The 12,910-nt window shown below is 41.9% G+C and overlaps 1 protein-coding gene across 2 annotated transcripts in view; it reads left to right on the top strand.

Moving 5' to 3' along the window:
- Positions 1 to 12,910, top strand: part of SLC12A8 (solute carrier family 12 member 8) — a 130,105-nt gene that overhangs the window by 27,441 nt on the left and 89,754 nt on the right. For both annotated transcript variants that reach the window (NM_024628.6, NM_001195483.2), the window contains one exon: positions 7,334 to 7,565. In NM_024628.6, coding sequence (NP_078904.4) covers positions 7,334 to 7,565 — 232 coding nt within the window. The remainder of the gene's footprint in view (positions 1 to 7,333; positions 7,566 to 12,910) is intronic.

Raw genomic sequence — 12,910 nt, 5'->3', positions numbered from 1 at the left:
GCTCTTGTTTCCCAGGCTGGTGTGCAATGGCGTGATCTCGGCTCACCACAATCTCCACCTCCTGGGTTCAAGCAATTCTCCTGCCTCAGCCTCCCGAGTAGCTGGGGTTACAGGCATGCGCCACCACACCCGGCTAACTTTGTATTTTTAGTAGAGATGGGGTTTCTCCATGTTGGTCAGGCTAGTTTTGAACTCCCGACCTGAGGTGATCCGCCCGCCTCGGCCTCCCAAAGTGCTGGGATTACAGGCGTAAGCCACTGTGCTCGGCCATGAATTTGTCCACTTCACGTAGGTTATCTAATGCATCGGCATATTAATTGTCTATAGATTTTCTTATAGTCCTTTTTATTTGTGTAAGTTTGGTGGTAATGTCTCCCCTTTCATTCCTAATTTAAATAATGTCTTCTCTTTCTTTTTTCTTGATCAGCTTAGATAAAGGTGTGTTTACAAAGAACTAATTATTGGTTTTGGTGATTTTCTCTATTGTTTTTCTGATCCCTAATTCATTTCTGCTCTGACCTTTATTGATTCCTTCTTCTGCTTGCTTGGGTTCACTTTGCTCATCTTTCCCTAGTTTCTTAAGGTGACAGGTTGGGTTATTGATTTGAGCTCCTCCTTCCTCTAGGGTGCGGTTGGGGTTTTGAGGCTCCCTATTCCTTGTTCTTATTAACTCCCTCAGCCCTCATTCCAGGGCATGTGTGCATTCATTTATTTCTAATGATTGTCAAAACAGATTCCCTGATTTTACCCCCAAGCAGGGGTCAGCAAACTTCTATAAAGGGCCAGATCATAAATATTTTGGGTTTTGAGGGTCATATGGCTCTGTCACAACTACTCAACCCTGCCACTGTAGTGTGAATGCAGCCACAGATAAATGGCTTACAAAAAACGGGTATAGTTGTGTCCCAATAAAACTTTATTTACCAAAATAATCAGCAAAAAGGATTTGGCCAGTGAGCCAGTTTGTCAATCCCTTCCCTAGAGCATCAAAACTGAGGAGATATTAACACTTAAAGTAATGATTTTAAAAGCTTGCAGGTCGGGCGTGGTTGCTCACGCCTGTAATCCCAGCACTTTGGGAGGTCAAGGCAGGTGGATCACCTGAGGTCAGGAGTTCGAGACCAGCTTGACCAACATAGTGAAACCCTGTCTCTACTAAATACAAAAATTAGCCAGGCGTGGTGGCGCACGTCTGTAATCCCAGCTGCTTGGGAGGCTGAGGCAGGAGAATTGCTTGAACCTGGGAGGCAGAGGTTGCAGTTAGCTGAGAATGCGCCACTGCACTCCAGCCTGGGTGACAGAGCGATACTCCATTTCAAAATAATAATAATAATAATAATAAAAAGTAAAACAAAAGCTTGCAAAGGCTCGTCATTGCCCTGCATCCTACAAAACCCTTCCCCCTTCATCCCTCTCAGGCCTTGGTGGCAGGGCCTGCTCTGTGGGACCAAACTCTTTGTCAGGGGAGGAGACGATGGACTACAGACTCCCCTCACTCCCTGCTCCACTTACCTGTGTGGGCCTGAGGGTTCTTGGTGACTGTTTACCCTGAACACCAAAATGTCTAGCTTCAGCCTGTGCTGACACGTGGAAGAACGTTCATTAGTGGCTCACATGCTTTGTGCTGGACTCTGTATAAAAACAATGAATGACTGGAAAGTTTTTATGGACCTGATATAGGCCTGGAGTTTTTGTTATGGGTGTTAACGCATATTCAGGACATATGTGTTAATCCACCAACTCTTTAACCTTAAACCTGGAAGTTTGTGTCAGAAGGGGAGGGGTGTTGAGGGGCAGCGCTGGTCCTCCAGGTAAGGTGGAAGGAAAATGCCTGTGATTGTCAAGGTGCAATTTTGCTAAAAGAATTACCTTGGAATGGAAGCATTACACCCTGAAAATAGGCCACCTTCTCTCTTTAAAATGGTGAGCAACACCCACTGTGTCTTGTGAGAAGGAATTAGGCTTTTCTCTGTGGAGAATGAAAAAGAAAAGGAATGCCTGGTCTAAGATTTAGGAGGAAATAGAATACGTTTAACGTATAACAAACCCTTAAGACATTTACACATTAAACAAACCACCAGGAATGTTTTCCAAGGAAAAGCAGCATTCAGGTTGGAAGGGGTACCGCCTCTGGGGTGGCTGGATTGCTCTAGGGAAGGCTGGGCAGTTGCTGAGTGTGTGGACGAAGGCCTTGAGTCCTGGGCTGCTTCCCTAAACCTGGGCAGACAGGGTGATGATATACCCTGATTTAGTTTTTGCGTAAACATAAGGGTACTTTTAATATGTTTGCTTGTATTTTTTAATAAAATTCTTTGACAGTTACATAATGATATTCATTGTAGTCAGTTAACACATTGGAGACAATGAAAATAAAGAGCTTTCCCCCACACCCTTGAGGTGATCCCAGTGTTCTCTTTTGGAACATTTCCCTCGGCTTATACACATGTATTTATGGATTTTTGAAGTGCTTGCTTGTTTTTACAAAAATGGGGACAAGGCCAAGGCCAGGCGCGGTGGCTCACGCCTGTAATCCCAGAACTTTGGGAGGCCAAGGCGGGTGGATCATGAGGTCAGGAGTTCGAGACCAGCCTGACCGATATGGTGAAACCCTGTCCCTACTAAAAATACAAAAAATTAACCAGGCGTGGTGATGCACACCTGTAGTCCCGGCTACTCGGGAGTCTGAGGCAGGAGAATCACTTGAACCCAGGAGGCAGAGGTTGCAGTGAACTGAGATCACGCCGCTGCACTATAGCCTAGGCGACAGAGCAAGACTCTGTCTCAAAAAAAAAAAAAAAATGGGGACAAATTTCATACATTATTCCATGGCTTGTAGTTCTCACTTTAAGTAATAGATATATCTCTTGGTCAATGTTTTAAACCAATGCTTTTTAAATGGTTACTTAATATCGTATAGTATAAATATACCATAATTTATGGCTCATTTCTATTCTCCATTCATTCTTTTTTTAATTTTTTTTGAGACAGGGTCTCAGTCTGTTGCCTAGGGTGGAGTGCAGTGACGCCATCACAGCTCACTGCAGCCTGGCACTCCTGGGCTCCAGTGATCCTCCCACCTCAGCCTCCCAAGTAGGTGAGACTACAGGCGTGCACCACTATGCTCAGCTAATTTTTAAATTATTTTTGTAGAGACAAAGTTTTGACATGTTACCCAGGCTGGTCTTGAACTTCTGGGCTTAAGCAATCCTCCCACTTTGGTGTCCCAAAGTGCTGGGATTATAGGCGTAAACCACTGCACCCGGCACCCAGCCTTGTATTTTTTTGTAGAGACAAGGTTTTGCCATGTTGCCCAGGCTGGTCTTGAACTCCTGGACTCAAGTGATCCTCTCACCTTGGTCTCCCAAAGTGCAGAGATTACAGGCATGAGCCACTGGGCCTGGCCCTCTATTCATTCTTTACTCTCCTCTGTATATGTAGTTTTTTTCCTAATAGTCTATATTTTTGCATTTTCTCTTTTCTTTGTAATCAGGCTACCAGAGGCTTATCTATTTAATTTTTTTTTAAAAGATCAGCTTTTGTTTCTTGTATTTTTCTTTTGTTATTTTTTCTTCTATTTCATTAATTTCATATTTCTTTATATAAAATACTTCTCTCTATTATCTTTTTATTTATGTTGATATTTTTGTGACTGAAGTTAATTCTTCGTTCCTTTATTTTTCTTTTTTTTTTTTTTTTTTTTGAGACGGAGTCTCGCTCTGTCGCCCAGGCCGGACTGCGGACTGCAGTGGCGCAATCTCGGCTCACTGCAAGCTCCGCTTCCCGGGTTCACGCCATTCTCCTGCCTCAGCCTCCCGAGTAGCTGGGACTACAGGCGCCCGCCACCGCGCCCGGCTAATTTTTTGTATTTTTAGTAGAGACGGGGTTTCACCTTGTTAGCCAGGATGGTCTCGATCTCCTGACCTCATGATCCACCCGCCTCGGCCTCCCAAAGTGCTGGGATTACAGGCGTGAGCCACCGCGCCTGGCCTATTTTTCTTTTTAACTAATAAAATCATTTAAGACTATACATTTTTCTCTTCTGAACCCAAGTTTAGTTATGCCTCTTGAGTTTTTGAATAAAACATTCTCGTTTTCATTACTTTGTAAAAAATATAAAATTTTATTTTTCATTTCTTTTGACTTTGGCAACATGTGTCAGTTATTTTTCTATTGCATTTTGGTTGATTTGGAAGTTCTACTATGCTTTTAGTTCTTCTAGTAGTGACAGTCTACCCTCAGAAGTCATAATTAAACTTATCCTTTTCTATCATAATTTTCTACACTTCTCAACCAAGACACATTATTTACTAGCTCCTCTACCAACAAAATATTAAACTTCTATGATACATTTACTTTCCTACTCTCCATAAACACCCCCACTTCTACCCCCAGACTCATTGTGAGAAGACGGTTTAATTTTGGACTGTTAATTGCTTTCCTTAAAGTAAGTCTCTTTGGTTTCAAGCATCCTTATTTACAACTTATATTGCAAATTTCCAGTGATGGTACCATCATCTATTTAGCATCAACAAAGTATCTTATGATATTCATAGCTAGCTACTGTTTCCTCTTCTTCAGCAGCGAATAATAACAAAGTCATAATAATGACGGTAGCTATTATTATTATTATTATTTTCTGCCCAGGCTGGAGTGCGGTGGCGTGATCTCAGCTCACTGCAACCTCTGTCTCCCGGGTTCAAGGGATTTTCCTGCCTCAGCCTCTCAAGCAGCTGGGACTACAGGTGCACACCACCGTGCCTGGCTTATTTTTATTTTTAGTAGAGATGGAGTTTCACCATGTTGCCCAGGCTAGTCTCAGACTTCTGGCCTTAAGTGATCTGCTCTCCTTGGCCTCCCAAAGTGCTGGGATTACAGGTGGTAGCTATTGTTTCTACAACTCTATGAGCCAGATATTGTTCTAGGTCTTTACATAAATCATCTCATTTAGTTCTCACAGTAACCTTTTGAAGGTTACTATCATTATCTGTATTTCACGGAGGGGTTAAAACACTTTCCCAAGTCAGCCAGGATTTGGCCTTAGATATTTTGGCTTCGCAATTCATGCTCCTAACCACCATGCCCTTACAAGCCTCCTGAGGAGCTTCCCCCACCCCCTACCCTGCCCCATCCCCTGTTGCTGGCATCTTTGGGCTAAAAAGCAATTTTAGATACAAACCAGAAGGATGAGATCCACTGGAGTTACTGGGAACAAAAGGCAGCATTTACAGCTTGGCTCACATTGCGTGAGCAAATTGTTCTACTGCTAGGAAAAAAAAAACAGTTTGGAAGCTTTGGATGCAGATGGTCCCATGGCATCATCCTCTGCATGTCAGAGACATCAGGTACCTGGGAAAGTGGTGCCCATATAAATGGTATCCATTGCTACATTTTTGTCATTTATTTTATTTACTTTTATTTTGCTCAGATAATTTTGACCATGAAGAGTCCTGTTGACCTGGCCAAATACTGATGAAATAACGTCACTATCACACATCACACTCTTGGTGTTTAGTAAAGAGGAAGTTTGAGTTCTGAGATGAATGCAGGAAAACATTAGTCTCTCTGTCTTTCTCTTTCTCTCTCTCTCTCTCTCTCTCTCTCTCAGAAATGATTGTATTTCCCTCACATTTCTTGGGCTTTCCACCTCATCCTAATATGGACAGAAATGTTTACCACTATGGGATGCTGGAATAACTGTTAAGCTAAGTGTAAATTTGGGGGATGCTGACAAACATGATATGTGCCTAGTTGCAAAGTGAGCTGATCTCATTGAAGAATGGGGCCTTGTTCACAAGCTCCTTTCAAATCCAGAAGTTGTATTACCCTTTTGCCTTTACACAAAATGGCTGGAACTCATGGAGCCTGCTTCCCAGAGCACCTTTTATATGATCAGCATATCACAAAGTATTTATTGAATGCTTGCAACATACTTAGCAAATGCAAGTATTTGAAGAGGTACAATCAGCATAAACAATTTTTTAAGATATTTGCATTCTTGGTGGTGGGGTGGGGAGACAAACTTACGTTCATGACATGATAATAGAATATGGAACCAGATAATTAATTGTATGGCCTTAGCAGTTAGCTTACTATTTATTCAGAAAAAGAGGTTGAGGAGAGGCCTCATGGAAAAGGAGGGACTTGAACGAATGAGGCCCTAATAGAATTTGTTCCCAGAGAATGGCAAGGGCAGGGCTACAGTGATTAGAGTGACCAGCTGGCCCTGGGGGCAGTGAAGGACAAACCTGAGGAGAGAAGAAGGCTGAGGCTGAGGAATTAGGAAAAGTGAGACTGATGTTATTTTCAACAATTTAATTTGAAATGATCTTTCAAATATTTCCCAAAAGATAAAATCATGATTCTCAGGCAAATATAAGAAAAACATGTGCCAAGGATTTCATTTCATTTTTTTAAAAAAAGATTATATAACAAATACTCATAGGAAGCCTAACCTGGAGCAGGGATTTTATTTAATTTATGAATTAATGGAGGAGCCAGTAAGATGTTAAAGAGCATCTGCAAAGGATGCTGGGTGGACAGAGGTCAGATTAGTAAATTCATAACTAGGCAGTTGAATAAATAAATGTTAGGATAAGATTGCTGGGTTAGATAGAAAATCAGTTAATGTCTTACAGGACAACAAATCCTAATCTTTTGGGTTATATGTTCCACTGGACAGAAGTTATTTGCATCTGTACTGGAAAAAAATCCATAAGGTAACATGTAACTTTATTAAATCTGGGGCATATAATGCATTTAATCAACAGCAAATAGTGAGTAAAATGAAGTACATTCACCTAGATAGTCCTTGGGTAGCCTTTGCCACATATGACGTTGAAAAAGACGTGCCACTCACTTTTTTTTTTGCTAAGTTTTAGATAATTTTAAAAATAATACTGACCTATAGAGAAATGAAGAAAAATCTGGTTTACTGCAGTGTCCTTTTAAGGCTCTGTAGATGGGACCCCCTGTGTGTTCTTGTTCTATATTTAGTTCTTGAATAACTCGGACTGAGAAATCCGGAGGCCTCTTTAGCCCAGTGTCCCATCTTCTTCCTCCCATAGTCTTTTCATCTTTGTTATCACTGACAGCCAGCTCTCAGCTTGGGTTCCTCCTTCATTCTTTAGTTGAGATGTAGACAAGTAGAAATGGGGCCTGAGGCAGGTTCACGGGTGGGAAGGGCTGGTTTAACCCTGCACTGGTCCCAGGCACTGTGCCTTGGTGCCAGTGAGTGTGTCCGATGGGGGTGCAGGGTTCTCAGCGCTGGGCGGTTCTGCCCATGGGCCCATGGCTTTCTGTCCTGCTGACTCTTCTACCTGGAATCGCATGTCAGTGTGTTGCAGGTGCCATGTATATCACCGGCTTTGCTGAATCCATCTCGGATTTGCTGGGCCTCGGGAATATCTGGGCTGTGCGAGGAATTTCAGTTGCGGTGCTTCTGGCCTTGCTGGGCATTAACCTCGCAGGTGTCAAATGGATAATCCGCCTCCAGCTGCTGTTGCTGTTCCTGCTGGCCGTGTCCACACTGGACTTTGTGGTGGGTTCTTTCACCCACCTGGACCCAGGTAAGCCTTTCAGAGTCCAGTATGTGGCCTTATGGATCTTCACTGCTTTAGAGATGTTTGTAGGTGTGAGTTTGCCCACCCCATCTCCCCCTAACCCCCATAGGCTTTACCTACAATTGGTGTGAGCTGTTCCTGGATCAGGTGAGCAGGTGTGTCTTGGAGCAGCTTCATGAGGCTAGAAGCTCCTCTTCACACAGACATCGCCTAGCACATTTTCTATGTGTCCTTTTATTTTCTTTTTTTAATGTATATTTATTTATTTATTATTATTATACTTTAAGTTTTAGGATAACATGTGCACAACATGCAGGTTTGTTACATATGTGTACATGTGCCATGTTGGTGTGCTGCTCCCATTAACTCGTCATTTACATTAGGTATATCTCCTAATGCAATCCTCCCCCCTCCCCCCACCCCACAACAGTCCCTGGTGTGTGATGTTCCCCTTCCTGTGTCCATTTGTTCTCATTGTTCAATTCCCACCTATGAGTGAGAACATGCGGTGTTTGGTTTTTTGTCCTTGCGATAGTTTGCTGAGAATGATGGTTTCCAGCTTCATCCATGTCCCTACAAAGGACATGAACTCATCCTTTTTTATGGCTGCATAGTATTTCATGGTGTATATGTGCCACATTTTCTTAATCCAGTCTATCATTGTTGGACATTTGGGTTGGTTCCAAGTCTTTGCTATTGTGAACAGTGCCGCAATAAACATACGTGTGCATGTGTCTTTATAGCAGCATGATTTATAATCCTTTGGGTATATACCCAGTAATGGGATGGCTGGGTCAAATGGTATTTCTAGTTCTAGATCCGTGAGGAATCGCCACACCGACTTCCACAATGGTTGAACTAGTTTACAGTCCCACCAACAGTGTAAAAGTGTTCCTATTTCTGCACATCCTCTCTAGCACCTGTTGTTTCCTGACTTTTTAATGATTGCCATTCTAACTGGTGTGAGATGGTATCTCATTGTGGTTTTGATTTGCATTTCTCTGATGGCCAGTGATGATGAGCATTTTTTCATGTGTCTTTTGGCTGCATAAATGTCTTCTTTTGAGAAGTGTCTGTTCATATCCTTTGCCCCCTTTTTGATAGGGTTGTTTGTTTTTTTCTTGTACATTTGTTTGAGTTCATTGTAGATTCTGGATATTAGCCCTTTGTCAGATGAGTAGGTTGCAAAAATTTTCTCCCATTGTGTAGGTTGCCTGTTCACTCTGATGGTGGTTTCTTTTGCTGTGCAGAAGCCTTTAGTTTAATTGTATCCCATTTGTCAATTTTGGCTTTTGTTGCCATTGCTTTTGGTGTTTTAGACATGAAGTCCTTGCCCATGCCTATGTGTCCTTTTATTTTCTTGCTATTAAAAAAACCAGGCCAGGCACAGTGGCTCATGCCTGTATTCCCAGCCCTTTGGGAGGCCGAGACAGGTGGATCACCTGAAGTCAGGAGTTTGAGACCAGCCTGACCAACATGGTGAAACCCTGTCTCTACTAAATACAAAAAAAATTATTTAGCGAGATCTGTTTGATGCTAAAGCTGTTGCCTGAGGTGAGAAGTGGGGCCTGTTTTTGCACGATGATATGCTGTCTTTTTGTGACAGCAACTCTGCTTTTCCCCTTGGAGGCCAGCCCGGATGTGCACCTACACAGTCCTGCCTTTTAGAAAAATGTTGGTTGTGGGAAGGTCAGCATTCGGTTGGCATCCACTGATCTGGCCTTACTACTTCTGAGCATGTTAAAATCTTCTGTTGGAAAACTGTCACTCCCCTGAACTCCCTGAGTATCCCCTACCCTCTGGCATCCTAGTCCCTCTCCAGGAACCTTCAGATGCCCCAACGATCCGGCACCTAAAGGGTTAACCCCAGGGCCCACTCTAATGCTCAGGGCCAATGTGATGTCCATACTGATCACCTGGAGCCCAGGCTTTGCAGCTTGCTAAATATTTGACGCATCTCCAGGAAGGAAACAGTGATTTTTTTTTTTTTTTCCTGGCCATGTACCACCCTGCAGAGATGGCCCGCATATGGAGGGAGACTTGCTGGCCTTTGGCTCATCAAACTGTCAGTGAAGGAAAGACAGAGTCCACTCAGGTCCCTGATTCCTTGTACTTCCCCCTCCAGTGACACGGTTGCTGGAAGAGCTCAATTAGTGAAATTGCAAGGCCGTGCTACTGGCTTCTTTGAAACCTCACACTAGCCTGATGTATTTTCCTTCTTCTTGATTAGAAGTTCTTGGCTGCTCTTCTAAGTTACTCCAAATATTTTTCCTTCCTTCTGGTCAATACATTAGTAGAGTGTAGTGTGAGATGAAATTTATTTTCAATCATTCCCATAGCAACTGGCTCCTCAAGAATCTGTTTTTGGTATCACTGATGTTTCATATGGGATATTTTCTTTGTGGTTAAAAATCCAAACTGAAACCAAACTATAAACCTTCAAAATGAATTTAACAGAGTGATTTCAACTCTTAAAAAATGAGGACATATACATAGACATTTGAAAAAAAGACTGGAAGGAACTATGCATAATAGCAACTATCTTTCTGTTGAGATTATATGTGGCTAAATTATCTTATTTCTACTTTTCCTTCAAATGACCAGTGTTACTTTTTTAAAAAAAATTAATTCACTTTTAGAGCAGTTTTAGGTTTATGGAAAATTAAGCAGATAGTACAAAAGTTCCCACATACCCCTTTTCTCTCTCCCCCACCACAGTTTCCCCTATTATTAATATCCTGTGTTAATGTGGTACATTTACTGGAAGTGATGAACCAATATTGATATGTTATTGCTAATAGTTTAGGGTTCACTCAGTATTATACATTCTATGGATTTTGACAATGTACAATGTTACGTATGCAGCATTACAGCATCATACAGATGAGTTTCACTGCCCTAAAAATTCCCTGTGCTTTGCCTTTTAATGCTCCCCAACTCCTGGCAACCACTGATCTTTTTACTGTTTCCATAGTTTTGCCTTTTCCAGAATGCTGTATAGTTGGAACCATACAGTATGTAGCATTTTCAGCTTGGCTTCTTTCACTAGTAATATGCACTTAAGATTCCTCCATGTCTTTTTCTGGCTTGATAACTCATTTCTTTTTATCACTGAATAAAAAGAAACTGGATGTAGCACTGTTTGTCCATTCACCTACTGAAGGACATCTTGGTTGCCTCCAGTTTTTGGCAATTATTAATAAAACTGATATAAACATCCATGTTCAGGTTTTTGTGAGGATACATTTTTCATTCATTTGGATAAATACCTAGATGCATCATTGTTGGAGCATGTGGTAAGACTATGTTTGTAAGAAACTGCCAAACTGTCTTCTAAAGTGGCTGTACCATTTTGCATTCCCACCAACAATGAATGAGAGTTCCTGTTGCTCCACATCCTCATCAGCATTTGGTATTGTCAGTTTTTTTGTTTTTGTTTTTTAGTAATTCTAGTAGATGCATAGTAATATCTCATCATTGTTTTAATTTGCGATTCTCTAATGACGTATGATATTGAACGTGTTTTTGTATGCTTATTTGCCATCTGTATATCACCTTTGGTGAAGTGTTTGTCAAGATCTTTTGCCCTTTTAAAAAACTTGTGTTTTTTTGTTTGTTTGTTTGTTTTCCTATCATTGAGTTGTTTTGTTCTGTTTTGAGACAGGGTCTTGTTCTGTCACCCAGGCTGGAGTGCAGTGGCACGATCTTGGCTCACTGCAACCTCTGCCTCCCGGGTTTAAGCAATTCTTATGCCTCAGCCTCCCAAGTTGCTGGGATTACAGGCATGCACCACCACGCCCGACTAATTTTTTGTATTTTTATCAGAGATGGGGTTTCACCATGTTGGCCAGGCTGTTCTTGAACTCCTGGCCTCAAGAGATCCACCCGCCTCAGCCTCCCAAAGTGCTGGGATTATAGGCGTGAGCCACTGCGCCCGGCCACTGTTGAGTTTTAAGAGTGCTTTGTATATTTTGGATTCAAACCCTTTATCAGATGTGTGTTTTGCAAATTTTTTCTCCCCAGTCTGTGGTTGGTTCTTTCATTCTTTTAACAGTGTCTTTTGCAGAGCAGAAGTTTTAAACTGTAATGGAGTCTATCTTATCAGTGTTTTTCCGTGGATCATGCCTTGGGTCCTTGGGTGCTGTACCTAAAATCTCTTTGCCAAACTCCTAGATTTTCTCATTCTAGAAGTTTTGTTTGACATTTAGGTCTATGATCCAGATTGAGTTAATATTTTGTGAAGGGTGTAAGATGAGTGTCCAGGTTATTTTGGTTTTTTTTTTTTTTTTTTTTTTTGGCTCATGAATATCAAGTTGTTCCAGCACCAGTTGTTGAAAAGACTCTCCTGTCTCCATTGAGTTGCTTTTGTGCCTTTGTCAAATATCAGTTGACTGTATTTGTGTGTTTCTGGGTTCTCTTTTCTGTTCCATTGCTCTGTTTGTCTATTCTGTCTCCAATACCATACCGTCTTGATTACTACAGCTTTATAGTAAGTCTTAAAGTTGGTTAGCATCTATCCTCCAACTTTGTCCCTTTTCACCAGTGGTTTCTTTGTTTGTTTGTTTTTTTGAGATGGAGTTTCACCCTTGTTGCCCAGGCTGGAGTACAGTGGTGCAATCTTGGCTCACTACAACCTCCATCTCTTGGGTTCAAGCAATTCTCCTGCCTCAGCCTCCCGAGTAGCTGGGATTACAGGCATGCACCACCACACCTGGCTAATTTTTGTATTTTTGGTAGAGACAGTGTTTCACTATGTTGGCAAGGCTGGTCTCGAACTCCTGACTTCAGGTGATCCATCTGCCTTGGCCTCCCAAAGTGCTGTGATTACAGGTGTGAGCCACTGCGCCTGACCAGTGTTACTCTTAAAATCAGAAAAAAAGTTTTTTTAAAGTACACTTAAGCCTAACTTTATTTCTTCCCATTTCTTTAAATATAAACAACGAAACAATTCCAAACAATCCTGAAATGTATAATGTAAAAATGTAAAAAGTAAAGTAAAGAATGAAAGTCTCCTCCTTCACTCAGTTTCTCCACTTCTTTCCAGAGGGAGATTGGTCCACGTATTAGTTATCTATTATTGTCAAACAAATTACCCCAACATTTAGTGGCATAAGATAACAATAAACATTTGTTATCTCTGGCCTTTTCTGTAAGCCAGTAATTTGGGTGTGACTTGGCTGGCGGCCCTGGATCAGAGTCTCTGGTGAGGTTCAGTCAGATGTCCTCAGGGTCTGTGGTCATCTGAAGGCTTAATTGGGGCTGGAGGATCTCACTGGCAAGTTGGTATTTCTTCTTGTTAGGAGGCCTCAGTGGTCCATGTGGTTCTTTCCTGAGAGCTGTTTTAGTATCCT

Source organism: Homo sapiens, chromosome 3, assembly GCF_000001405.40.
Source record: "Homo sapiens chromosome 3, GRCh38.p14 Primary Assembly".
Taxonomy (NCBI): Eukaryota; Metazoa; Chordata; class Mammalia; order Primates; family Hominidae; genus Homo; species Homo sapiens.
The sequence above is the reverse complement of the archived record's forward strand: the minus strand, read 5'-3'. Positions and strand labels throughout refer to the sequence as shown.